Below are 27,989 nucleotides of genomic sequence, written 5' to 3' on the forward strand. Positions count from 1 at the left end.
ACACCCATGTAGACCCATCACCCAGCTTCAACAATTGTCAACTGGTGGCCAATCTTGTTTCATCTATATATACCCCCACCCAGATTATTTTAAGGCTAATTCCCAAAGCCAATAAATTTTTCCCATAAATATTTATGTATTTATGTCTAAAAGAAAAGAATCCTTTAAAAAGTATATCTGCAATGCCATTATCACACCTAAAAGAAATTAATAGAAATTCCTTAACAGCATCCACTATCTAGTCAGGATTTACTTTCCCTAATCCACACTTAGTTTTTCTAGTTATGTTCCTACTCATGGGGGCAGGGAGATGAACATTTGACAGAAGACTATTATATCAGCCAATATAAGAATTTGTGGTCTCTGCTCTGTAGCACTCTCTGATGGTTCTATCCATGTGTGTTTTGCATGGAATCTAATTGGATTACAAATTCTTCAGGGCAGGGACTGACATTACTGTCTTTTTTGCACCCTAGTATGGCAGAGAGGAAGAAGCACTGATCTCAACTAATTAGCTGTGTGACTTTGGGAAGGTTATTCAACCTCTCTAAGATAATAGGAATAAAAATACACATCTCCCAAGAATCGTAAGGCTTAAAGAAAAGGTGAATGTGCTCGGCATGTAGAAGTTTCTTAGTAAATGCTCATCTTGCTTTACTCTCTGTTTTGACCACTTTTCAGTTCCTCACATGGAGTGAAGGCCACCGTCAGTGAGGGCTGCAGCCAGGCCAGCAGCCTGGAGTCCACCTGCCCCCAGCACGGTGCTGTGTCTGTGGTGTTGGTGGTCCCCACTCTGAGCACCCAGGGGTTGCTTGTTTACTCGGGCCACTCATTAAACTGACAGGTGAGGCTTGCACAGCCCTCAGGAAACTGAGGGAAGAGAGGGGCTGGACAGGAGTAGAGATTTGCTTTCGGCCCACTTCACCGGTTTCTGGGTTCCTTGACTCAGATGAAGTAATAATTTCATAGCTGGCCTTGACTGAGTGTTTATGACACGCCAAGCTCTGTGCTAAGTGCTCTACCGCAGCACCGCTTTTAGTGTTCACAACCCTGTGAGATGGGTACTACTATCCATATTTTGTAGGTGATGAAACTGAGGCTTAGATTAGGTAACTTGTGACTTACACAGAGACACCATTACTCAAACCAGGTTTTTCTAATACTTAAATCCAAGTTCTTGGCCACACACTCACTATTTTGTTAATGGTGCCAAAGAAGCCACCTTCTAGGGTTCATTCTCACCCAGATTTACAGAGATGACTTCTGCCCAGGCTCAGCATGCACCCCGAACTCCAGCCAGCCATTATGCCAATGTACGTCCCTGGACAGGGTGAGGAAGAGTGAGGGGATCAGAACAGCCTACATCCACAAGGGAAAACCGGACCTAAAGGCATCTCCTTACATCAAGGATGTACACACAAACACACACACCACTTCTATTTCTTGACTCGGGCTCTGTCCGCAGAACCAAGTGTGGACCTGGCAGGGGTGAGAGAGGTGAGGCAGGGGAGGAGACACTTGTCACGGTATTAACTGGCTGAATAAAAAGTCTATGATAGTGAAATTTCCAGGAACAGGAGAATCCTTCACACTCTTGCTTGTGATTAGACTGCTTTGTTTGACTTCAGCCTCAGGAGTACCTTTCTGAGCACTGGAAGCTACCGGACACAAGGCAGTCATGGGCCCAGAGCCTGCGACTGGGAGTGGGGAAGAGCAGAGTCAACGATTTCCAAGGGTGCCAAAGCCTTTGGCTGCATTTCATTTCTTTCTGTATGATTCCTGATAGCTGTGTTGGGGTACCGGGCCCTCACAGTAAGTGCTACCACTTTTTCTGTAAATGTTTTGGTTTTATTTATCATTATCATAGCTGCATCTGGGGCAACCACCTTGTGCATACAGGACAATAAATTCCTGAGCCTCCTGGCTTCCCTCCTTCCTCCCTCCTTCTCCCTCTTCTTGGCAAAGGCTTAAACATAGGTGGTGGGGCGGGGGGGGGCGGTAGGGACAGAGACAGAGTTCCAGCTCCTCTTTGCTTCACCCCCTTCCCTCCTCCTCCCTTCTTTCCCATTGCTACACTAAAGGAGTCAGGGCTGTGTCCACCAATATGCTCTGTGACTAGCAGTCAACACAATTTCATACCCAGCCAGTCATTCCGCAGGCATTTTGGATGATAATGTTCCCATTCTCAGTTCCTCTGTGAGAATGTGCATGTCATTTGAAGCTCTGTGCCTCAGTTTCCATAGAAGTAAAACAAAAAGCAAGAATTGAGACTGATCTTTTTCTTGCAAGAATTCACAAGTAATGGATAATGTACAAGAGATGTGGCTGAATAAGAGAACTAGAACAAAGACTTGAACAATTTTCCTATGCAACACTCTTTCCCATGGACAAAGGTATCCCACAAAGTCATACTTCATCGGAGGCTAGTTTGTCCAAAGAAAACTCACATACCAATGCAATAGTGACAAAAAAAAAATTCCTCCATGCCAACTCAGGAAAACAGAAAGCAAGTTGTGCTTAAGCCCATTGTAGGTGTGGGCAGATGCTTCCAAAACCGTCACCCCTTTTCCCTCCTCTATGACTATCTTCAACCCCCAGCAAAGCGGCCTCGCCAGCTGCTAAAGGGTTAATTACCAAAAAGAGGGCATGCTCCCTCCAGAGGCTCCTCTGGAGAGTGCAAAAACAAAACAAAACCAAAAACCAACTAACCACAACAAAAAACATCTTCCCTGGGAATAAATTTGAAGCTTATCAGGTCTTTAAGCCACATTTCCCAGCCCATAGACTCCTGGTCCCTGTCTCCCTTTGCTTTGGGAAACTCATTTACCCCCAAGCCTCCTGAAATGATCCATGTGCCGTGAGATGCCCATAGGGTTGGGGACTTGAAAATGAGTTATTCTCCCACAAAAAATGGCTTAGCTTTGTCTTTTTGGGTGGCTGACAGGAGACATAAAGTATCACTCTCTCTTTTTACCCCTCCTCACAATAGGATGGAATGAGTGTGGAGAAAAACAAAGGTATTGTGGGACCAGGATGGAGTCAACTTGACAATGGACTCTTCAAGGACACCTTCCAGCTCCCATTCTACTAGTAGCTCTATTTGATTTTGTGGGATGTTGTGTTCCTCCAACATATCCGACTTCTGCTTATAAAACAGAAATTAGGAGTAAGAGATTCGCACCGCTAGTTCAGTGGATAATCATCAGTTCTGAAGCATTAAAATCCTTTGCCAACAAGAACGTTTCTTCTAAGGAAGGAAGCATCCTAATCATGAAGCCAGGGTCTCCAGCCCTCCCCTGTCTCCCTCCTCCCCTCCAGGGCTGTGCTCACTCACATCCATGGACATCTCCCTCTGCATAAGTTTCTTGGTCTCCTTTTCACAGAAGTTGAGCATGGCCTCCCGGTTGTACACACCCGTGGACTGTTTCTCCGTCTGGTTTCTCTGCCGCAGCCCCACGGGAACACTCCCGTCTGGGTCCACCACGTCCAGCTCCTTCTCCAGCTCCTCCATCTCCTCGGGAGACAGGGTCTCCAGCAGGCTGTCGATGTCGGGGTCTTCACTCACCTGCCGGCGATATTTGGCTACTCTAGACATCTTGGCAAAATGGGCTGTGGCTGCCAGGGGCTATCAGAGTCCTGGTGGGCAGGGAAGGGAGAGGGGTGAGCTGATCTGGATGCAGCGAGTGGGCTGAGGAGCAAACCTCCTGCTGGTCGAGGACTGCAGCTCCTTGGCCCTTCTGTGCTACAGGTGCTGAAGTGTTCACTGGACGCAGCAGCCTCCCTGAAGCCCAGGGCTAGTGGACCCCGGCTGGTCTAATCAGCGGCCAATAAGACCCGACAACTGCCAGGCCCGGAGAGGAGAAGCCAATCCCCAAGCTGGGGGCGGGCCTACCTCGCTGTCAGAGCTGTTTGAAACTTGAGGACATTCCAGGGAATCTTGGAGCGCTGCGTGACCAAATTTAGTACAGAGCAGTTTAGCCTTTTAAAGACAAGGGGCCACGCAATGAGAAAAAGATACAAAAATGCGTAGGCTGGCAGAAGCAGATCACAGCCACGGAGAGCCAGACAAGCAGGGACGAGGCCATGAGGGCCGGTGAACTCGCCAGCCCGGGGCACGTTCAAGAGCGTATTTTACTACTCCATCACCGGGTGGACGTATCACTGTGGTCAATGTGTGGTTCATGGACTTCCTTCTACAGTATTTGGTAATGTGCTGGGGGGCTCCCAGGTGTATACAGCTCCAGGAAAGTCTAGATTCAAGATGAGGAGCTGTTACTCCTAACCCCCTGCCTACCCATTTTCTTTCTACCCAGGTTCTGCCAAGGAGGACCTGAAGGCTGAGCATCAGAGGCTCCAGGATCCTTTGGCCACTTCTTAAGAGAGAGACAGGAGACAGAAAGACAAACTTAGAGATAGAGATAGCTAGGCAGGAGAGGGAGAGAGAGAGAGAGAGAGAGAGAGAGAGAGAGAGAGAGAGAGAATAAATCCTTACTGTGTACCAAAACTGAAAACTGGCAGGCTGTTTGGGAAAGAGAGAAGGATCTGCAGAAGTCGGGAAACTCTTAAAGGGCTGTCACTTTCCATGAAGTTCCAAGGCTCTTGGGAAGAGGGTTCAAACCTCCCCCTGTTGTCATCTGTTTCTTCCTCTGCCGGGCATCTGTAGACAGACCTCCTTTGGGAGCACAGAGGCAGGTCACCACCCACATATAAATCCAGAGCACGATTTAGTATGTCTTCAGGGAAACAGAATTCTGGGCCGTCGGGAGAGATACGATTGCAACAGGTCTGGCATGTTTCATAGAAGGGCTTTCCACTGCTCATCCATCATGCTGCCCTGCACAAGTCACAGAGACATTCAATCCCCTGCCCCCCTTCCTCCTGCCACAAAATCCCTTCTAGAAGCCCTGGTGTAACCCATCAGGGTAGATGCTTCGATCTTTCCTGGCATCTTTCCATCCTAAGCCAGAGAGAGACAGTCACTTGATCAGCATTTGCTGAGTCCAGGGATCGTCTGGGACTAAAACTTGGCCGTGCCATTTAATGTCCACTAGTCCAACTTTAGGTTAAGGCTGAAGAGGGGAATGGTGTCCACTGGGGGGACTGAAGGGCAGAAGGAAGGCAGGCAGACTTGATAGGAAGAGTGGAAGAAGACTTTAGGGAAACCTGGGGGTTGTCATTTTAAGAGTCAGTAGCCAACTTATTGGTCAAACCGTAGGTATATATTTATTGAGTGATTTATCAAGTGCCTATTATATATCAGGCATTGTTCTAAGAGCAAGAGATATCACTAAAGATACAAAATCAGGCCAGGTGCAGTGGCTCATGTCTGTAATCCCAGCACTTTGGGAGGCCAAGGCAAGAGGATTGCTTGAGTCCAGGAGTTCAAGAACAGGCTGGGCAACATAATGAGACCCCCATCTCTCCAAAAAAAAAAAAAAAACAAAATTAGCCTGATGTGGTGGTGAGCATCTGTTGTCCCAGCTACTCAGGGGGTTGAGGTGGGAGGATTGCTTGAGACCAGAAGGTTGAGGCTGCAGTGAGCTGTGATCACGCTACTGTACTCCAGCCTGGGCAACAGAGTAAGACCCCATCTCAAAAAAGAAAGAAAGAAAGAAAGAAAGAAAGAAAGAAAGAGCGAGCAAGCACAGGGGCTATGGGAAAACACAACAAGAGGAGGCTGAATAGAAGTATGATTTAACAGTGAAGAGCTTGGGCCTTTGAGGCCAATAGACCTGTATTTGGTCCTGGTATTGCTACTTACAGGCCATGTGACTTGGGCAAGCTACCTTCTTTTCTGAGACTTGAGTTCATCATCTGTAAAATAAGGACAACAGTTATACCAACCTTATACAATTGTTGTGAATATTAAATTAGGTCCTACACATGACAACATTTCATTGATATACCCAGTACATGGTAAACACCATATTTATTATTAATTATTATAATTATTTATTTATTTATTTATTGGGAAACTCTGTTTCACTCTTATTGCCCAGGCTGGAGTGCAATGGCGCGATCTCGGCTCACTGCAACCTCCGCCTCCCGGGTTCAAGCAATTCTCCTGTCTCACCCTCCCAAGTAGCTGGGATTACAGGCATGAGCCACCATGCCCGGCTAATTTTGTATTTTTAGTAGACATGGGGTTTCTCCATGTTGGTCAGGCTGGTCTTGAACTCCTGACCTCAGGTGATCCACCTGCCTCGGTCTCCCAAAGTGCTGGGATTACAGGCGTGAGCCACAGCGCCTGGCTATAATTATTTATTTACTCTTGTCCTGGGTTCTTTTCTTCCCATCCCACCTTTTCTCTCATCTTTTTATTTCTTTCTCTCAAGAGTAAACACCCTCTAAACACACACACACACACACACACACACACACACACTTTCTCACCTGGTTCTCATTCATTCATTCAAACATTTATTCAGATACTACTATTTATATATAGCATCCTGCCAGGCACTACAACATTGTCATTACAACATTGTTATTCTCTTAAACATGTATAATTCAATGGGGTAAAAAATAATAATAACTACACTGTAAGGCAAAGTGAAGCAAGCTAGAGAGGTACAAGGAGTCTTGCAGAGAGGTCCAACTGTTAAAAAACCCAGTGGAAGACACATTAATTTTGTGGGGAGGAGTCAGGGTGGTCATCTCAGAGGGCATAACAAAGGGTTTCAGCCATGCTGGAGTGGGCTTTTAGTTAGGTATGTTGGGTGGACATGGCACTCCCTATGCCCATCCCCTCCCCCTGTACCCCCTTTGGGTCAGCTGGCCTTCACCCTCAGTGTTGCCCAGAAAAAAGCATCATCTTCTGGGGTCCCTGGCTCTAGGACCTCAGCCAACCTCTAGCCTCCCAGTCAGCTGAAAGCAATTCTCTTTCTAGTTTCCAAGGACTCTTTCTCAGGCTTTTTGCCAAAAATATTCACTGCTCCCTGAGGAGCAGTCAGGGCCTAAAAGCAAATCACTACCTTCAGCCCCAGGGTTAGCCCTGTACCATCTGGTTTCAGTGGTTTTCTTTTTTGGGCCCAGTGGTCTCTGCTCCAGGAAGACACTCAAAAAAATAAATCCATAGCTTTCAAATGTAAAGGGCAGGACTCATGCCTCCTAACCAAAGGTTTCTACACATTAACCCCAGTATCTTCTCTGTGTCAGGTCTCCCAATTCCAAATCGCTGGTTCTTCTGACATGACTCAGTCAGAAGCTTTTTACTCCCTGGAGCCCCAAGAGCTCCCTGACACTGCTCACAGACTCCAAAAGTCTTCCCTTGAAAGGCATCACAGCTGGAGCTGGAGGATTTGGGAACCCAGAGGCCAGGGAGTACAGCCACCTCCAGCCCCTACAATGAGAGGCCACTGCCCGACCCACTCTGTAGGGAGCACTGGTTGTTCCAGCTCAGAATCAACTTCCACCTGAAACAAATCCATCCTGGGTATCAGGACCCTGGCCGTTGTCTATTCCCCAGAGAAAAACAAGCACTGTTGTCGCTAGAGGGATGGGGAGAGAAAAGAAGGAAAAGAGACTCAAAGCTCCAATCAAAATGTGGTGCAGGGCAGGAGGGAAGAATGAGGATCCAGAACCAATTTAATTAATGCTTAGGTGGCTCTCAGTTGGGCTGAATGACCCCAGGAAAGTCACATTTTCAGGAATATAGGGTGGCAGTATAGTATAGCAGATAAGACTACAGGCTCTGGAGTCAAATGACATGGGCTCAAATCTGAGATGTGTGACCTTAAGTAAGTTATTTAACCTCTCTGAGCCTTAGGCAATGGAAAATGAGGATATTAAGAGCATCTACGAGCTGGGTGCAGTGATGTGTGCCTGTAGTCCCAACTACTTGGGGTGCTGAGGCGGGAGGGTTGCTTAAGCCCAGGAGTTTGAGTCCAGCCTAGGGAAAATGTGAGACTCGTCTCTAAAACAAAACAAAACAAAACAAAACAAAACAAAACAACAACAAAAAACCAGACCGGGCATGATGGCTTATGCTTGTAATCCCCACATTTTGGGAGGCCGAGGAGGTGGGATGAATGTTTGAGGCCAGGAGTCAAGATGATCCCAGGCAACAGAGTGAGACCCCATCTCTTAAAAAAAAAACCTTGTCCAGGCACAGTGGCTCACATCTGTAATCCCAACACTTTGGGAGGCCAAGGTGGGCTGATCACTTGAGGCCAGGATTTTGAAACCAGCCTGGCCGACATTGCAAAACCCCACAAAAACTAGCCGGGTGTGGTGGCACACACCTGTAATTCCAGCTACTTGGGAGGCCGAGGCACAAGAATCACCTGAAGCTGGGAGGCAAAGGTTGCAGTGAACCAAGATCATCCCACTGCACTCCAGCTTGTGACACAGTGAGACTGTCTCAAAAAATAATAACGAAAATAAAATAATCTAAAATTTAAAAAAACCCTAATTCATAGTTATGGAATTATTGAGCATATTAAATAAGATAATGCATGCAAAGTACTTAACAGCATCGGACATATTTTAAGCACTCACTGATGCTTGCTATATAGTTAAATTATATAGCTATATGTATGTGTATATACATGCAAAGATCAGGAGATATGCTGACATAGAATGACTATGGCAGGGTCCTGAAAGAGACCACAAAAGAGAGAAGTTTTCACACTGGTTCTTTCCTTTTGGGGGATGCTGACAGTTCCCCTAGAAGGCAGCAGACTTTGCCTCTGGGAGCAAGCCACTGGCCTGGCCCAGCACTCCTGAGATGAGCAGAAATGGGCAGAGGAGAGCTCAAGACAGAGCACAGGCCAGACTAATGTCTTCCTGAGAGGAGAGCAGTGGGAGGAAAAAGGGGGCAGCAAAGAGACAAGAGATTGCCTCCTTCACCTCCACCAATGTTACCTAAGCTAAAACCCCTCTGTCTACCAAATCAGCCCTGGTCACAAACTAAAACCCAAACCCAACAGGAGGCTTACTTATCCACGCCAATCTGAATTTCTCCATGACATGGACCAGGTGGGACTGTGGGTTTGGTGCCATGTACATGACCTGTGACTTAGTGGATGGAGTTCCTTAGGCCACAGCAGCCTCTGGCTCAATGAAGCTTGATCTACTGAGTACCTGGACCACATGGGGCTCTAGCAGCAGTCCTATCTTGAGCCCAGAACAGTAACTTTCAATAGAATATACACTGGTATGTTGAATCAGAAGTTCAAACGCCCTTCACCTTTATGGTGACTTTTCTCTCAAGGACCTCCACTGCTTTCTTCTACTATGCCTTCGTATCATTGACCATTCCATCAGTGAGGGCCACCACAGTCCCTCAGAATTCTTTAAGACTAACTAGGGGGAGATTAGAGTACCAATCCTTCTAAACCTTTCAAAAGGCTTCTTTTGAACCCTTTTCAAAAGATTTCTTCACTTAGCACCCTGGAACCAAATGGAAGTGAATATTTTTGAGAAGACGTGACATCTTTCTCCTGGGCCTTGCCCAGCCAAAAATGTTCTGTTATCTGTTGCAATTAAAAGAGAGCAAAGAGTAAGAAGTCTCTTTCCTTAAAGTTTCTTTGGCCACTTGAGCGGAGCTTCCCAGAGCAGTAAACTCCTTTAGGATAGGGACTGTTGGAATTAAATGAGCTGGGGAACCACAACCTAGAAACTGGACTTCAGCTTTGTAAACTCCGAAACTCATTATCACTGTGATGGTTAATTTGATGTGTCAACTTGAGTAGGCCATAGGGTGCCCAGATTAAATGTTGTTCTGGGTGTGTCCATGAGGATGTTTCCAGATGAGAATAGCATTTGAATTGGTAGACTCGGCAAAGTAGATTGCCCTCCTCAGTGTGGCTGGGCATTGAAAAGGCCGAAGAAAGAATTTGCCCCTCTTTTCCTGCCTCACTATTGAGCTGGGATATCTCATTTCACCTTCTCCTGCCCTCAAACTGGGATTTACATCATCAGCACCCCTGGCTCTCAGGCCTTTGGACTTGGACCAAACTGCATCACTGACTTTCCTCCATCTCCAGCTTGCAGACACAGATTATTGGACTTCTCAACCTCCATAATCATGTGAGCCAACTACTCATAATAAATAAATAAATAGGCTGGGTGTGGTGGCTCATGCCTGTAATCCCAGCACTTTGGGAGGCCCAGGTGGGCAGATCACGAGGTCAGGAGTTTGAGACCAGCCTGGCCAATATGGTGAAACCCCCATCTCTACTAAAAATACAAAAATTAGCCAGGTGTGGTGGCGCACACCTGTAGTCCCAGCTACTCGGGAGGCTGAGGCAGAAGAATCACTTGAACCTGGGAGGCAGAGGTTGCAGTGAGCCGAGATCACGTCACTGCACTCCAGCCTGGGCAACAGAGTGAGACTCCATCTCAAAAATAAATAAATAAATATTAATTTTATGTATATATATATATATATATATAGAGAGAGAGAGAGAGAGAGAGAAACAGAAACAGAAGGATATATATATATTTGCACACAATAAGATATATATATGTGTGTGTATATATATATCCTCTTGGTTCTGTTTCTCTGGAGAACCCTGACTATTCCTGGTGATTTAGTCAAAATAACTGATCTCACAAGAGGCAGATACATAAGCCAGTATTAACTACCAAGTGGAGAAGAATAGTTATAAACACAGGCCAGGGTATTCTCTTCTATATCGAAATCTATTCAGAAGCCAAATAAGAAGAAGAAGATTGCATAATAAATATGGAATAAGAACAAAGGGAGGTAGCTAGAGCTAGAGCTAAGGGATATTTTATCTGGGTCCTGGTGAGAGTGCAAATCTCTAGTTACTAAAATATTTATACCCACCAGGTCTTCGGTGCTGACTAAATGTCAGATTCCTGCCCTCTGAATTCCTCCATGTCCCCTCTCCCACATTCTCTCTTTGGCCTGTACAATTAAATAGAGTTAACTATTCTTAATTACAGTCACATTCTGAACACGTCTTCTCCACCTTACACACCCAAATCAGATAACTAGTATGAACCATTCTCACGTGCAAGACACATTTATTGATAATCTTTAGTTCCATGGAGGGTTCGATTCATCTGCTTACTTTATTTCCAAGCTTTTGGAGAGACCCTCACTCCTCTTTGCAGTCTTCCTTTATTTATTTATTTATTTGAGGTGGAGTCTCGCTCTGTCACCCAGGCACAATCTTAGCTCACTGCAACTTCCACCTCCCACGTTCAAGCCATTCTCCTGCCTCAGCCTCCTGACTAGCTGGGATTACAGGCAACACGCCAGGCTAAATTTTGTATTTTTAGTAGAGACGGGGTTTCACCATGTTGGTCAGGCTGGTCTCGAACTCCTGACCTCGTGATCCGCCCGCCTCGGCCTCCCAAAGTGCTGGGATTACAGGCGTGTGCCACTGCGCCCGGCCTCTTCCATTATTTATGACATTGACTTTTCCGTAAAATAAATATATACATATTTTTAAAGTTAATTACAAACGTACAGAATGGAGAGGAGCACTTTAACAGCCATCACATGATTGGGATTTTGTTGACAGTAAACTAAAAGCTCCATGGGTCCCAACCTTTTTTTTTTTTTTTTTTTGACAGTGTCTCACTCTGTCACTAGAGTGCAGTGGCATGATCACAGCTCCCTGCGGGGTAGATCTCCTGGGCTCAAGCTATCTTCCCGCCTCAGTCTCCCGAACAGTCAGGGCTACAGGCACGTGTCACCACGCCCGGCCTGGTCCCCATAAGTCCCCTCTTCTCCGAGCCAAACATCTTCACACCTTCTGGTGATCATTAGTGGAGAGGCCTGTGAGAGGCTCTGGTGTCAATGTCCCTGAAATCGAGGGCTCCAAATTGGTCATGGCTCTCCAGATGGCCCAAACAGTTCCAGTTCACAAACATTTATTGAGCATCTACTACATTCCAGGCACTGTGGTTATTATAAATCACTGAGACACTGTTTGCCCTAAAGGAGCTACGTGTATTTGGTAACAGCTTCACAGTAAGTGACGAATAAGATAGCATTAATCCACATTTGACAGCAAAAGTACCAAAAAAGAAAGAAAGAAAAAGAAGAGAGAGAAAGGAAAGAAAAGAAAAGAAGAGAAAGAAAGAGGCCGGGTGCGGCGGCTCACGCCTGTAATTCTAGCACTCTGGGAGGCCGAGGTGGGCGGATCACGAGGTCAGGAGTTCGAGTCCAGCCTGATCAACATGGCGAAACCCCGTCTCTACTAAAAAAACATAAAAATTAGCCGGACCTGGTGGCGCCCGCCTGTAGTCCCAGCTACTCAGGAGGCTAAGGCAGGAGAATCGCTTGAACTCGGGAGGCGGAGGTTGCAGTGAGCCGAGATCTCGCCGCTGCACTCCAGCCTGGGCGACAGAGCCAGACTCTGTCTCAAAAAAAAAAAGAAGAAGAAAAGAAAAAGAAAGAAAGAAAAAGGATGGAAGGAGAGAAGAAAAGGAAAGGGGGAAGGGAAGGGGGAAGGGAAGGCGGAAGGGAAGGGAAAGAAAGAAGCGTATTTAGGCAGTATCGCGTTGATTTCAGTCCACGGAACCTCTGGTGACCGGGTAGTGTGACTCCGTCATTGGTAGCCCCCCGCCCACACAGCCGGGACTCGCGGCCTTTGAGGACGTGGGCAGGGCCAGTCTCGCCACGCCGCGGCCAATGCCCCGACCACACGCTGGCCACAGGAGTCCTGGCTCCCATTGGCTGCAGCGGGAAATGGTGAACCAATGCTCATAGACCTTAACGCCCTCCTCTCGGGATCACTTCCGCCTCTGGGGTCAGGCTCCGCCCAGCTTGCCCGGCATCACTCGCGGCATTGGAGTCAAGATGGAGGAGTACGCGCGAGAGCCTTGGTGAGCTTCACCGCTGTCTTTGCATTTCTCTTGCCCCCCTGCCCACTGCCCTCCTTCTCCCTTGTCCAGGCTCCCAAGGTGCAAGCCAGACTCAACCGCAGCCTCGTCGACTTGGGCCTGGTAACTGGGCAATGCGGTCTTTCGCGGCCAGTCGGCTTCTTAGCCCTGTACTTAGTACCTCCCCGGCCGCGTGAGCCTCCCTCTCCCAACCCAGCACCCGTGTGACCTTGTGATGGATGGTAAGGAGGTCCAGACTTGAGTTTGATAGAACCTCGGAACCTCCTCCCAACGCAGGGCGTAATCGACTTTATGCGGGGCCAGTTATAATCCCCCCTGTTCGTCGAGGTGACCTTGGGCGCGTCCCTCCGTCTCGCCTTGCTCAGTTCCTGCGTTGAGGAACTGAAGAATAGGCATTTGAGGGAGTGTCATTCTTGAGGTTTTACTTGTATCATGATATGTGTCCACAGAGTGAAGCATTTTAAATGAATGGAACATAGATTTTAGCCAAGGGGTCTGGATAAGCTTCTTTATTGCGTGGGGCCTTGTTTTCCTTCTTGGAATTCTTTCTTGAGGGTAGAGGGGGACAAAAATTACCTGGGAAATAGGAAGAGGTAATAGCATGTGTTCTCTGAAAAGCCATGGACAGAAATTCATTGTTACATCCAGCGTTTATTGAGTATGAATAAACCAGACACATAGATAATTATAAAACGATGTAATTGCTGTCAGAAGTCTCAGGTTGCCAGAGTTTAAAGTTTCTAGGGTCATAGGTAAAAAATCAAATCTTGATATTTCGGTTAATCATTTGTTTTATTGTGTAAGAGCAACAACCAAGATGTCCTCAATTTGTGAAAGTGCCCAGGACCTTAAATTACTACTCTGGTATCCTAGCCTTGTTGCATGTTTTATGTTCCCCTCTCCCATAAATGGCATACAAAATATAAGTTTTAGGGTCTCCTGGCTCTTCAAACTTATCTTCTTCAAAGCAGTTATCCTCCATTCTGGATTGTGCTCAGATATGTAGGACTCAGCACACTGTAAATAGCTGTTTGATGTACTATAATGACACAGGTTAGCAGAGAGTTAAAATATTTAACTATGTTGAGTTAAAGATCTTAGAAAAATAAGGCCGGGTGTGGTGGCTCACGCCTGTAATCCCAGCACTTTGGAAGGCCGAGGCGGATCACGAGGTCAGGAGTTCAAGACCAGCCTGGCCAGTATGGTGAAACCCCGTCTCTACTAAAAATACAAATATTAGCCGGGCGTGGTGGCACGCGCCTGTAGTCCCAGCTACTTGGGAGGCTGAGGCAGGAGAATCACTTGAACCCAGGAGACGGAGGTTGCAGTGAGCCAAGATTGCGCCATTGCACTCCAGCCTGGGTGACAGAGTGAGACTCCATCTCAAAAAAAAAAAAAAAAACAACTTAGAAAAATAATGGGTTTTCATTTACTAAATCATTAGGTAGCCCCTTTGCTTTCTCTTAGTACGTATGCCCTGAAACAATATAATCAGTTACCTGGTTATCTTTGTAGTCAAAACTGCTTTGATTTTTTGACTGCCCTGTTTGATTACAGCATTTCCTCAAGTCATTTTATAGGCCAAATATTTATTGGTTGCAGTGGGCCCTGCAGTATAATCTGTTCCATTATAATCCTTACTGTATTGGCAAAGAAGATTTTATGGTTTGTGAATGAGAAATATGGTCTTTTTTTTCCCCCTGTTCTTAGCCCATGGCGAATTGTGGATGACTGTGGTGGGGCCTTTACGATGGGTACCATTGGTGGTGGTATCTTTCAAGCAATCAAAGGTTTTCGCAATTCTCCAGTGGTAAGTGGGTGAATGGTCTTATTTTATCATCACTTGCAACTTGGGTTTGATGATATTACTGGTGGTCCCATCAGTGGCTTAGAAATGTACTTCTAATATATTTTTTGTTGCTTCCTTTTTTTTGTTATAGGGAGTAAACCACAGACTACGAGGGAGTTTGACAGCTATTAAAACCAGGGCTCCACAGTTAGGAGGTAAGCAGAATTTTCATTTTAACTGAACTATTTTTTTCTGTTCCTTTGAAGATGGAGCTATTTTTATTTTTAGATTACAACAATTAGTGATTTTAGTTTGGTCTAACGGTTTGTCACAAACATATATCCCTATAGTTTCTTCTTGATTTGTAGTTTGTTTGAAAAATTAACCTGAATTATGATACCCATTTGAAAATCTTGTCTCTGTCCTTCAGACACTCGGTGATTTTTTTTTTTTTTCCTTCTCCAGAAGAAAGACAGTTATTTAAAGCTCAGGTGTGAGGCCGGGCACGGGGCTCACGCCTGTAATCCCAGCACTTTGGGAGGCCGAGGTGGGCAGATCACCTGAGGTCAGGAGTTTGAGACCAGCCTGACCAACATGGAGAAACCCCATCTCTACTAAAAATACAAAATTAGCTGGGCGTGGTGGCGCATGCCTGTAATCCCAGCTACTCAGGAGACTGAGGCAGGAGAATCACTTGAACCCGGGAGGCGGAGGTTGCAGTGAGCCAAGATCATGCCATTGCACTCCATCCTGGGCAACAAGAGCGAAACTCCGTCTCAAAAAAAAAAACCTCAGGTTCGTGAGTCAGGACCGATAGCTTCTGAGGTAACATAAAGCTGAAGAGAATGTGATCTGAAGGATTGGGGTTTCATGCAGGAGAAACCCATCAAGCCGATTGGGCTCTTCTCCAAGGTTGGTTTTGGGACATTGTGCAGAGGTCATTGGAAAATTTGAAAAGATTCTATTCATTGTACTTTGTAAACTTGGTTATTCAGAAGCTGGGAAAAGGGAGGTGACAAAAAATGTTTGTAGGTTATATTCACTTACAAAGGTATAGTCAGGGTTGGGCGCAATGGCTCACGCCAATAATCCCAGCAGTTTGGGAGGCTGAGTTAGGCAGATAGCTTGAGCTCAGGAGTTCGAGACCAGCCTGGGCAGCATGGCTGCCCATTTCCCCAGAAAAATGGAAAAATTAGCCAGGTGTTGGGGCATGTGCCTGTGGTCCCAGCTACTAGGGAGGCTGACATGGACGGATCACTTGAACCCATGAGGTTGAGGCTGCAGTGAGATTGCACCACTGCACTCCAGCCTGGGTGACAGAGACCCTGTCTCAAACAGCAACAAAAACAAACAACACAAGGGTATAGTTAGATTGGAGAGACCGTATATAAGACATGAAAAAATCTTAATACTTCAGTCGTTCCTTAGATGTTTTGGGTATCAAAATAATCTTCTCTTTGCTTTTCTTAACTCTCACAGTAATGAAGAAGTTAGTACTATTATTATCTCCCATTTTCCAGATGAGGAAATTTAGTTCCTGAGGGTTGAGGTAATGTTGTATCTTTTTCCTTTGTTCCCTGTGTAAGAATTATCTACCCTGGAAAGTAATTAGTAACTAATTTCTCTTTGTTTTTGTGTTGGTGGTTATTGTGTTATTCAAGAATGATGAGTGGTATTAAAAAGTTCACACCAAACCCAGAACCTCTAGTATATGCAGAAGCCATATAGGTTTTTGCTTGTTTTTTGAGAGGCTGCTTCTATCACCTTACGCATTTTCAGTGAGTTAAAATACCATCAGATAACTGTCACTGCCAAAAGAAGCCTGTGAAGACATAGCAACTAAATTATTAGCTGGGCCCGGTGGTGCATGCCTGTAGTCCCAGCTACTCAGGAGGCTGACGCAGGAGAATCGCTTGAACCCAGGAGGTGGAGTTTGCAGTGAGCCGAGATTGCACCACTGTACTCCAGGCGGGGTGACAGAGCAAGACTCTGTCTCTAAAAAATAAAATAAAAGGGCTGGGCACAGTGGCTCACGCCTGTAATCCCAACACTTTGGGAGGCTAAGGCGGGTGGATCACGAGGTCAGGAGTTTGAGACCAGCCTGGCCAACGTGGTGAAACCCCATGTCTACTAAAAATACAAAAATTAGCTGGGCATGGTGGCACGTGCCTGTAATCCCAGCTACTCAGGAGGCTGAGGCAGGAGAATCGCTTGAACCCAGGAGGTGGAGGTTGCAGTGAGCCAAGATTGTGCCATTGGACTCCAGCTTGGGTGATAGAGTGAGACGCTGTCTCAAAAAATAAATAAATAAATAAAATTAAAAACTAAATGTAGGCCGGGCGCGGTGGCTCACGACTGTAATCCCAGCACTTTCGGAGGCCGAGGCAGGTGGATCACAAGGTGAGGAGAGCGAGACTACCCTGGCTAACACGGTGAAACCCCATCTCTACTAAAAATACTAAAAATACAAAAAAAAACAACAACAAAAAAAATTAGCCGGGCATGGTGACGGGCGCCTGTAGTCCCGGCTCCTTGGGAGGCTGAGGCACAAGAATGGCTGAACCCGGGAGGCGGAACTTGGCAGTGAGCCCAGATCACACCACTGTACTCCAGCCAGGGTGACAGCGAGACTCTGTCTCAAAATAAATAAATAAATAAATAAAAATAAATGTAATGTGGTACTGTGGAACAGAAAAAGGACATTAGCAAACTAAGGAAATCTGAATTAAGTATGGACTTCAGTTAATAGTAATGTGTCGGCCGGGCACAGTGGCTCACACCTGTAATCCCAGCACTTCGGGAGGCTGAGGCAGTAGATTACCTAAGGTCGAGAGTTCGAAACCATCCTGGCCAACATGGTGAAACCCCCGTCTCTACTAAAAATACACCAATTAGCCGGGTGTGGTGGCAGGCACCTGTAATCCTAGCTACTCGGGAGACTGAGGGAGAAGAATCGCTTGAGCCCGGGAGGCAGAGTTTGTAGTGAGCCGAGATTGTGCCATTGCACTCTAGCCTGGGCAACAGAGCAAGACTCTGTCTCAAAAAAAAAAAATAGTAATGTGTCAATATTGGGTCATTAGTTGTGACAGATGCTCCATGCTAATGTAGATGTTGGTAATAGGGAAAAACTGGAAGAGTTTATTTTTTCTTACAAAGCACGGTGAAATAGAGGAAGAGTGAGTGGTGATATGAGTGAATTGGAATTATCCATTTCAAATCCTAGAGGTTAGCCTTTTTTAGGAAGCTATTGAGAAGTTTTTATGGTATTTTAAATTCTAAAAATACTAGGATGATGATTTTATTAATTTGGTGAGCATTTGCTAAGGTATTCAGATCAAGGTGCAGGGAGGGACAGGCAGTATGGGAAAATCATAGTTGTGTTCTGAAAGGTGTTATATTTTCTTTCTTTTTTTTTTTGAGATAGGGTCACCCAGGCTGGAGTGTGGTGGCACAGTCTTGGCTCACTGCAACCTCCGCCTCCCAGGTTCAAGTGATGCTCCCACCTCAGCCTCCTGAGTAGCTGGGATTATAGGCATGCGCCACCACAGCCGGGATAATTTTTGTATTTTTAGTAAAGACGAGGTTTCACCATATTGGTCAGGCAGGTCTTGAACTCCCTACCTCAGGTGATCCGCCTACCTCAGCCTCCCAAAGTGCTGAGATTACAGGCATGAGCCACCACGCCCGGACTTAGGTCTTATATTTTCTTTTTTTTTTTTTTTTGAAACGGAATTTCGCTCTTGTTGCCCAGGCTAGAGTGCAATGGCGCGGTCTCGGCTCACGTCAACTTCCATCTGTCCGGTTCAAGCGATTGTCCATCCTCAGCCTCCCAAGTAGCTGGGATTACAGGCGCATGCCGCCACTTCTGGCTAAGTTTTTTGTATTTTAGTGGAGATGGGGTTTCACCATGTTGCCCAGGCTGGTCTCGAACTCTTGAGCTCAGGCAGTCCACCCGTCTTGGCCTCCCAAAGTGCTAGGATCACAGGCGTGAGCCATCCGGCCCAGCCCAGGTCTTATATTTTCATAGAGAAAATAAGATAGGATTTTGACATGTCCCTGTTACTCTTTGACCACTTTCTTGCATTTTGGAAGAAGACGTTTCAGGCTCATCTTGTACTTTTCATGCCCTAGCTGTGGGCAGGGCAGCTTTTCCTGTTGTAGCCATTTCTCCAAAGAGCCCCAGTTCCTTTTAGTTGAGAATGGTATTTAGGGCCAGAAGTGGTAGCTCACACCTGTAATCCCAGCACTTTGGGAGGCCAAGGCAGGAGAATGGCTTGAGCCCAGGAGTTCAACACCCTTGACAACTTAGAGAGAATGCCTCTCTACAAAAAAATTTTTTAAAAGAAAAATCAAGAATGGTATACAATCTATATTTCTGTATATCTATACATACTGAAAATCACAAGTTTATATTGATATCTCGTATTTCCAGTTCATCCCACAGGATTCATTATTTTCTTCCTTTTCATATGTATACCTGCCTTCTTAACCTGCTTGGGCTATGGTACCCCACAACAGGCTGCCCTTTGTCAGAGTATACTCTGACACTCCATGCCAGGCTGCCTTCCTTGAGAATCTCTCTCTTGCTTAGGCTCTAAAACCTTGTTCTCGGGTGTCCAGGTGTATAGACGTTCGCCTCATCTGGCTCTGGATCCTCACACCAGGCTACCCTTTATGGATCTCCTCCTCATCCTGCTTAGACTCAAATTCTCCATTCTCATTAGTAGCCAACACTTATTCTGGCAATGATTCTCAGGGGAAGGGTCTCCTGAGATTTTAGGCTCATGAGGAAATGGGAGGGTCTTGTCAGAAAATTTTAGTGAGGTAATTCTAATATACCTAGACGTCATAGCTCTCTCCCAGGGCATAGAATTACTGAGTTAGAAGAAATAACTGGTTTGTTTTTACATAGGATGTGATGTCTAATATTGTACTAAAAATGAGGATGCTTATGCTATACTCCACTGGTACTATCCACTGGATTTATTTATTTTTTTTATTTTTTGAGACGGAGTCTCGCTCTGTCGCCCAGGCTGGAGCACAGTGGTGCAAACTTGGCTCACTGCAAGCTCTGCCTCCTGGGTTCACACCATTCTCCTGCCTCGGCCTCCAGAGTAGCTGGGACTACAGGTGCCCGCCATCACACCTGGCTAATTTTTTTTGTATTTTTTAGTAGAGACGGGGGTTTCACCGTGTTGGCCAGGATGCCCTCGATCTTCTGACCTCATGATCCACCCGCCTCGGCCTCCCAAAATGCTGGGATTGTAGGCGTGAGCTACCGCACCTGGCTGTTTTTGTATTTAGATAGAGTTTAAGTGCAAAGTAATCTGCTGATTTAAGGTTGTTTTAAATTCATATCTGAGGAATAAAGGATGGACAGGCAATTTCCATCCCTTTGATGTTCCATAGTTCTAGCTATTTATATCATTCATTTGCCCCTTCAGCATGGATTGGCTTACACCTGTAATACGTTCCAGAATAGCTGGATTTCTTTTGTTTTCCCATCGGTGATTTTCATAGAGTAGATGCTCAATGACATATAATGCAGAAAGGCCAAAAATAGAGGTAAGTAAAGCTATGAAAGAAAAGAAGAACGAAAGAGGAAGCAGAGTAGTTTGATTTTGTTTATTGCTGCTTAAACCAGAGAGATATGTTATTCTGGAAGGGTGATTTGCTTGTTTTTACACATATGCAGCCTGACTGTTTTAGGCTTGGCTTCTTTTTTGTTTGTTTGAGATGGAGTGTCGCTCTTGTTGCCCAGGCTGGAGTGCAGTGGCACGATCTCGGCTCACTGCAACCTCCGCCTCCTGGGTTCAAGCGATTCTCCTGCCTCAGCCTCCCCAGTAGCTGGGATTACAGGTGCTCGCCACCACACCCGGCTAATTTTTACATTTTTAGTAGAGGCGGAGTTTCGCCATGTTAGCCAGGCTGGTCTTGAACTCCTGGCCTCAGGTGATCCACCCACTTCAGCCTCCCAAAGTGCTGGGATTACAGGTGTGAGCTATGGCACCCGGCTGGCTTATTTCTTATAGGCTTTGGGCCGTTGCTAATTTTCCAGCTGATATAATACAATCCAGCTTTATTCGAAAGATAAGTATTCTAACTCTTGTTCGGTGTTTATTCAAACTTGTGTTTGCATGTATTTGTTTGGACTATAAATTTTGAGACTATAGTGAGTATGTTTTTGACTATAATATTTTAAATGGAAGATGAAATTTAAATTAGTATTTGCTTGTTTCTTTTTACAATAAAATAGGTAGCTTTGCAGTTTGGGGAGGGCTGTTTTCCATGATTGACTGTAGTATGGTTCAAGTCAGAGGAAAGGAAGATCCCTGGAACTCCATCACAAGTGGTGCCTTAACGGGAGCCATACTGGCAGCAAGAAGTAAGTAGTCATTACAGACATACTAGTAGAAGCCACACTTTTAGGAAAACCTCATCTGCCTCAATTGAATGACATCTGTAATATATAAAACTGATTATTGACCAGGCACATTGGCTCATGACTATAATTCCATCACTTGGGAGGCTGAGGCAGGTAGATTGCACAAGTCCAGGAGCTTGAGATCAGATATAGGGAGACCTGGTCTCTACAAAAAAAAAAATTTAATTAGCTGGGTGTGTTGGTGCATGCCTATAGTCCCAGCTACTCATGAGGCCGAGGCAGGAGGATCACTTGAGCCACCGCACTCTCACCTGGGCAACAGAGTGAGACCCTGCTTCAAAAAAAATAATAATTATAAAACTGAGCATTGTTTAATTTGGCATAGCATAAATATACAGTATATGGTGATTTGAAAAAAAAGTAAGGGGATCTATTTATTTGGAATATTTGAGAATGAAAGAGCATGGAATTCTAACCCATATATTACAGTGGTTGAGAGCACTTCAGGTCCCAGTTCTGCCATTAATTAGCTGTATGACTGGTCAGTTTACCAAACTTTTTATGCTATAATTTCTTCACCAGTAATCTGGAGTTAATTAATAATTACACCTGCCATATAGAGTTGTTATGAATAAGGAACTTAGAACCATCTTCTGGATCCTCAGGACAGAGAATTCCTTTGAGCTTAGTGGTTTAGACCAAGGGATTTGCAAACTATTTCTGTAAAAGGCCAGATAGTGAATATTTTAGGCTTTGTGGGCTGTGTGGTCTTTGTCATAGCTACCTAAATCTGCTGTCATAGCATGAAAGCAGCCATGGATAATACATAAACGAAACAGTATGGCTGTGTTTCAGTAAAACTTTATTTATTTATTTATTTTATTTTATTTCTTTTTTTTTTTTTTTTTTTTTTTTTTTTTTTGAGACTGAGTCTCACTCTGTCGCCCGAGCTGGAATGCAGTGGCGCAATCTCGGCTCACTGCAAGCTCTGCCTCCCGGGTTCAAGCGATTCTCCTGCCTCAGCCTCCCGAGTAGCTGGGACTACAGGTGTGTGCCACCACGCCTGGCTAATTTTTTGTATTTTTAGTGGAGACGGGGTTTTACCATGTTAGCCAGGATGGTCTCGATCTCCTGACCTCGTAATCCACCCACCTCGGCCTCCCAAAGTGTTGGGATTACGGGCGTGAGCCACTGCGCCCGGCCCTATTTATTTATTTATTTTCTTGAGACGGAGTCTTACTCTGTCACCCAGGCTGGAGTGCAGTGGCACAATCTCGGCTCACTGCAACCTCTGCTTCCTGGGTTCAAGCAATTCTCCTGCCTCAGCCTCCTGAGAAGCTGGGACTACAGGTGCCCGCCACCACGTCAAGCTAATTTTTGTATTTTTAGTAGAGACGGGGTTTCCCCATGTTGGCCAGGCTGGTCTCGAACTCCTGACCTCATGATCTGCCTGCCTCAGCCTCCCAAAGTGCTGGGATTTATGGCCTTTCAGTAAAACTTTATTTACAAAAATAGGCAGTGGGTGGACTGTGGGTGGCTGTAGTTTACTGACTCTGGGTCTTAGGCAATAAGAAAGAGTTTGGGAGTTGGGGGAGCATGTCACCATATGGACAGTTCTCTTCTTTACTATCTCTTACAGTAAACTAGATTTCTGTAAAAAATAATCTCTTTGTTATTAATGTCTTCAGATGGACCAGTGGCCATGGTTGGGTCAGCCGCAATGGGTGGCATTCTCCTAGCTTTAATTGAAGGAGCTGGTATCTTGTTGACAAGATTTGCCTCTGCACAGTTTCCCAATGGTGAGTCTTTTTGCTTAAAACTATAGCTCAAACATTTTGGAATGGTTTTCTGATGTTAAGAAAGAACATACTTTGTGTGATAAAATGTGTGGTATGTATTAATATGCTGTGGTTCATGAGGACTGTGATAATAGGTAAAAAATGAACATGTTATATTTAGCCACAAAAACAAAAATTTTTTGTATAAATTTGCTGTTGATCTTTCTTTATAGTACTTAGGGTTTATCAGTGCTCATGTCTTGCAAGAAATGTCTGATCATTTTAAAGGGACTTGAAGAATGGTTCTGCAGATGTATAACAATCATGATGGTCAATTGACAATTTAGTATTGTACATCTACATGCCAGACACTGTTTTAGGTAGTGAACAGGACAGTTCCTGCCCTCAAGGACTTACATTCTGGTAGGGGGAGACAGACTAACACATTAACAGATAAATTAGCTTATTTTAGATAGTGTTGCTTGTTTTGAAGAAGAGAATAGTGGAAAGTGACTCATATTTGGGAAGGTCACTTTAGGGTTCACAGTAGAAGTATCTTAGAAAATGTGTTAGCCCGGCTAATTTTTATATTGGTTTAATTTGTTGCCTGTTGTTCCTCCTATATGATGCATAGGGTAATAATTAAATTGTGGGCTGAATGATCATTACATGGTTATAGAATGTGCTCTCAGCTGATTAGCCAGGCATAATGGCTCACACCTATAGTCCTAGCTACTCAGGAGGCACGAGAATCAGTTGAACCTGGGAGGTGGAGGTTGCAGTGAGCCGAGATCACACCACTGCACTCTAGGCTGGTCGATGGAGCGAGACTCTGTCTCAAAATGAAACAAACAGAAAACTTCTATCAAGATGGTGCATTCCTGTAGTTCCAGCTACTCAGGAGGCCACTCACTTGACCCCAGGAGTTCAAGGCCAGCCTGGGCAACAGAGCAAGACCCCATCTCTTAAAAAAAAATTTCAGTGTCTAAATGAAAATATCCCTTGACAATGGAAGGATGCAAAAAGATATTGTGAGGTGGCCGGGCACGGTGGCTCACACCTGTAATCCCAGCATTTTGGGAGACTGAGGCAGGTGGATCACTTGAGGTCAGGAGTTTTGAGAGCAGCCTGGCCAACGTGGTGAAACCCCGTCTCTACTAAAAATACAAATTAGCAGGGCATGGTGGCACACGCCTGTAATCGCAGCTCCTTGGGAGGCTGAGGTACAAGAATCACTTGAACCTGGGAGGCAGAGATTGCAGTGAGCTGAGATCACACCATTGCACTCCAGCCTGGGCAACAGAGCAAGACTCCATCTCAAAAAATATATATATATATAACATATATATGTTATATATATGCTATATATGTTATATATTATATATGTTATATAATATGTATGTTATATGTTGTATATATGTTATGTATTATATATGTTATATATTATATATGTTGTATATTATATATGTTGTGTGTGTGTGTGTGTGTGTGTGTATATATATATAGTGAGGATAGTAGTAGTGAAAATTTGACCTGGCATTTGGGAAGGAAAAAAATACGTAGAATAGTGAGACATGTTGAAAATTATTTTTGGAGCTTGGAAAAGATTCAGCATAAAGTTAGGAATAGATCATACATCCCAATTTGCTTTGATTTCCCTGAGGCACCTAGCAAGAGATTCAGTATCTTTTTGGCACAATTTTCAAGTGCACTGCTCGTTAAATGGCAGTGAGTAATCTAGATGACCCTGCAGACCCTCTCACCTTCTGTTTGTTTTTCATTCCTTACTTCTGAGTTAACACTCTGTAGTGATGGTCACTTTCCAATTTTGTTTTGACTGCTTCAGTGTGAAAGACTTTACATAAAACATCAAAACAGTTCCATATTCACAGAAATTCAGAAATGGATATAGTTAACTTAAATAGTTACATTGTCTCATAGAAATTAGCCTTGAGTACTTTGTTTTAGGCTTTTTTCCTCAGAGGGAATCTCCTTTTTATTTATTTATTTTATTTATTTATTTATTTATTTTAATTTTTTTTGAAACAGAATCTCTGTGACCCCGGCTGGAGTGCAGTGGTGCAATCTCGGCTCACTGCAGCCTTGACCTCCTGGGCTCAGGCGATCCTCCCACCTCAGCCTCTTGAGCAGCTGGGACTATAGGTGTGCACCGCTATGCCCGGCTAATTTTTATATTTTTTGTAGAGATGAGGTCTCTGCCCAGGCTGATCCTAAACTCCTGGGCTCAAGCGATCCTCCCTGCCTCGGCCTCCCAAAGTGCTGGGATTACAGGGGTGAGCCACCGTGCCCAGCTGGAATCTCCTTTTTAGTAATTAAAACTCAGCATTTATATAGAAGCAGCCTAAAAGAGGTGTATTTATTTTTAGACAAGAGATGTGTTTCTGAAAAGCTGTGTAGGGGGGAAATCTTTGAAAACTTAATCATATTTTTCCAGTGAACTTACATGAAAAAGTTTGTCTTGTTTTGTTTTTGAGACAGAGTCTCGGTCTGTCGCCCAGGCTGGATTGCAGTGGTGCAATCTCAGCTTACTGCACCCTCCGCCTCCGGGGTGCAAGCGATTCTTCTGTCTCAGCCTCCTGAGTAGCTGGGACTACAGGTGCGCAACATCACACCTGGCTCATTTTTTTTTTGTATTTTTTAGTAGAGATGCAGTTTCACCATATTGGTCAGGCTGGTCTCGAACTCCTGACCTCGTGATCCGCCCGCCTTGACCTCCCAAAGTGCTGGGAATGTGAGCCATCGCGCCCAGCAAAAAAGTTTTTAAAACAGTGAAAAAAGGTTAGACAGAACTGTATGTAAATGGCAACAGTGGTTTTCATCGGCTTATCTTTTTTTGGGGTTTTTTTGTTTTTGTTTGTTTTTTTTTTTTTAGACAGACTTGCTCTGTCTCGCAGGCTGGAGTGCAATGGCGCGATCTCTTCTCACTGCAACCTCCACCTCCCAGGTTCAAGTGATTCTCCTGCCTCAGCTCCTGAGTAGTTGGGATTACAGACACCCTCCACCATGCCCAGCTAATTTTCATATTTTCAGTAGAGACGGGGTTTCGCCATGTTGTCCTGACCTCAGGTGATCTGCCCGCCTCAACCTCCCAAAGTGCTGAGATTACAGGCGAGAGCCACCGCACCCGGCCCCAGCTTATCTTTTTTACCCAGTATCTTCTCAAGTTTTCTGTAATTAACAGATAGTTGCATTTATAGTGAAGTAAAAATATATGAGTGAAACACTTTGAAAACTTCAGAGAATTCTGCCACTGCCCTCTTTCTCTCTTCCTTCCAGATATTTTTTAGTCTACTTCAGTTTTTCTTAAAGGAGAAAAGATTGATTCATCCCCTAAAAGTCTTTTTTTTTTTTTTAAGCCACTTTGTTTTACTTAGTTCACAGGCTCTCCTATCCTTTGAAAATGAAAACTGCAAGACTTTGTTCTACAGTAAGCTAGGGGGTGTCTTCCCATTTCAGAGCTCATTCCCTACTTAATTGGTTATATAAATTGGATTACCAAGTTCTCTTAAAACATGACTAGGATACTTATACTTTGTGAAAATAATTTTAAATAGCTACTGAAAAATATGACAAGAAGTGGGAGAAACTCTTCTAATCTTGATATATGGCAGCTTGTTACAGCAATTGCTTTAAAAACTTGAAGTTTGCTTCTTGCTATAATTAATCCGTCTGACTTTCCTAGCATAGTGTTTGAAAACTGTTCATTCTGGAGCATAGCAAGCCAGTCTGTCATATGTTATACCAAATTTGAAGGTTCTCCAGTACTCTTATGGGAATTAGGCAGATCTATAAAGAAATTTAGGGTTATAGCTTTAATTTAGCACATTTTTTTGTTGTTGATTGATTTACTCTCTATAGAGATTTGTTCTTTTTAATAATATAATATTCAGGTGATTTTTAAATCCTTTTTATTTCTCACTTGCAGGTCCTCAGTTTGCAGAAGACCCCTCCCAGTTGCCTTCAACTCAGTTACCTTCCTCACCTTTTGGAGACTATCGACAATATCAGTAGGACTTCTTTCCTAGGATTTCTTTAACAGAACGAGTTGTGGTTCGAGAAGGATTTCAGAAGATCAAGTTACAGTCTGTTTTTAAAACCATAGGTGGGACAGCTATGGCCAATAGGCTATAAAGAGACATTTAGCACTTTTTTCTATTTAAAGGAACAAGCGGGGAAGGGTGCTAAAAGATAATACGTTTATTTATTCACACTTGAATTGCATTTGTGATCAAAATAAATGTTTAAATCGCTAAAGGAAAATACAGTAAGTGCTTGAAAGATGAAGGACCAAAAGGCCAAAAAACAGTGAAATATGATCATCATCTCCTTGCGGACTTCTCTGCCTGGTTTTGTGTGTTCTGTTATTCAAACAATAAAAAGCTGGTGGAACTTACTCTTTCTTTTAAGATAAGTTGTAGACTTCGATGTTTCATGCTCATGTACTTCAAATAATGCATGTTTTATAGTTAGTCCCTCATCACTTGAAGTGACTTCTGAGAATTATGCAGAGTCAACATGGATCATTTCACAGTGAGATGCTTTATGGATTGAAGGATATGGTAAAATGTTTATAGTTTACTTTGAAAGTAAAATATACTATGTCTTGGTTTTGAGGATATTGGATACAAAACTCTCTTCCTTTAGGGCTACTGAGTCTTGATTCCTGATCATCAGAAATTTCACCAGAAACAACTTGCTTCCAATATACCCAATTCTATATGAAGAATTCATGGAGAGTGTACTGGCACTGGAAGAGTTTAGTGTTTCTTGTATGCTTGAAAATAAAGTATGTACTGTTTTGAATGTGTTCCAAGTCCTCTGCATAAACGATGTATTTTGGGGTCTGGTTGGGCCTGGAAAATGGATGAGCACTTCAGAACAGGTCATTTTCCTGATATTGGAAGTGACATGTGGCCCTATAGGAGGCATGATGTTAGTTAATTACACATTTGCCTACATCTGTGGGAAATGGAGAACAAAGCCATGTGGGTACTGTAAACACACGTTTATCTTTTGGCCCAATGCCATACATATGGTAGGCATTTAATTACTGATTGTGTTTGGATAATTTGGGAATTTTCGACTGTGGTAAAATATACATAAAATAATACTTATTAACCATTTGTAAGTGTATAATTCAGTGGCATTGAAATACAGTCATAATGTTGTATAACAGCCACCATTATGTATA

The 27,989-nt window shown here is 44.3% G+C and overlaps 2 protein-coding genes across 2 annotated transcripts in view, besides 1 other annotated feature; one reads left to right on the plus strand and one right to left on the minus strand.

Moving 5' to 3' along the window:
- Positions 1–3,803, minus strand: part of LMOD1 (leiomodin 1) — a 50,093-nt gene extending 46,290 nt beyond the window's left edge. Inside the window, exon 1 of the mRNA NM_012134.3 lies at positions 3,335–3,803. Within this exon, the coding sequence (NP_036266.2) occupies positions 3,335–3,595 (261 nt within the window). The 5' untranslated portion in view covers positions 3,596–3,803. The remainder of the gene's footprint in view (positions 1–3,334) is intronic.
- Positions 12,747–13,036: an enhancer, noted in NCBI's record as "active region_2325". NCBI's record gives its function as "activates an Ori minimal core promoter by ATAC-STARR-seq in GM12878 lymphoblastoid cells {active_cell/tissue: GM12878}" and the evidence as "EXISTENCE:reporter gene assay evidence [ECO:0000049][PMID:35858748]".
- TIMM17A (translocase of inner mitochondrial membrane 17A) lies at positions 12,758–27,919 on the plus strand. Its single transcript, NM_006335.3, has 6 exons — positions 12,758–12,807; positions 14,536–14,635; positions 14,766–14,829; positions 20,871–20,999; positions 22,688–22,798; positions 26,724–27,919. The coding sequence occupies exons 1-6, from the start codon at positions 12,782–12,784 to the stop codon at positions 26,807–26,809; spliced, it is 516 nt and encodes a 171-aa protein (NP_006326.1). The 5' UTR covers positions 12,758–12,781; the 3' UTR covers positions 26,810–27,919.

The sequence above is a fragment of the Homo sapiens genome, chromosome 1, assembly GCF_000001405.40.
Source record: "Homo sapiens chromosome 1, GRCh38.p14 Primary Assembly".
Classification (NCBI taxonomy): Eukaryota; Metazoa; Chordata; class Mammalia; order Primates; family Hominidae; genus Homo; species Homo sapiens.

Excerpts from the sequence above, each read along its gene's own strand:
- TIMM17A (NM_006335.3), top strand. The coding sequence starts at position 12,782 with ATGGAGGAGTACGCGCGAGAGCCTTG. Across the intron at positions 12,808-14,535 it reads GAGTACGCGCGAGAGCCTTG|CCCATGGCGAATTGTGGATG; the intron begins GTGAGCTTCACC and ends CCCTGTTCTTAG. Across the intron at positions 22,799-26,723 it reads CTCTGCACAGTTTCCCAATG|GTCCTCAGTTTGCAGAAGAC; the intron begins GTGAGTCTTTTT and ends TCTCACTTGCAG.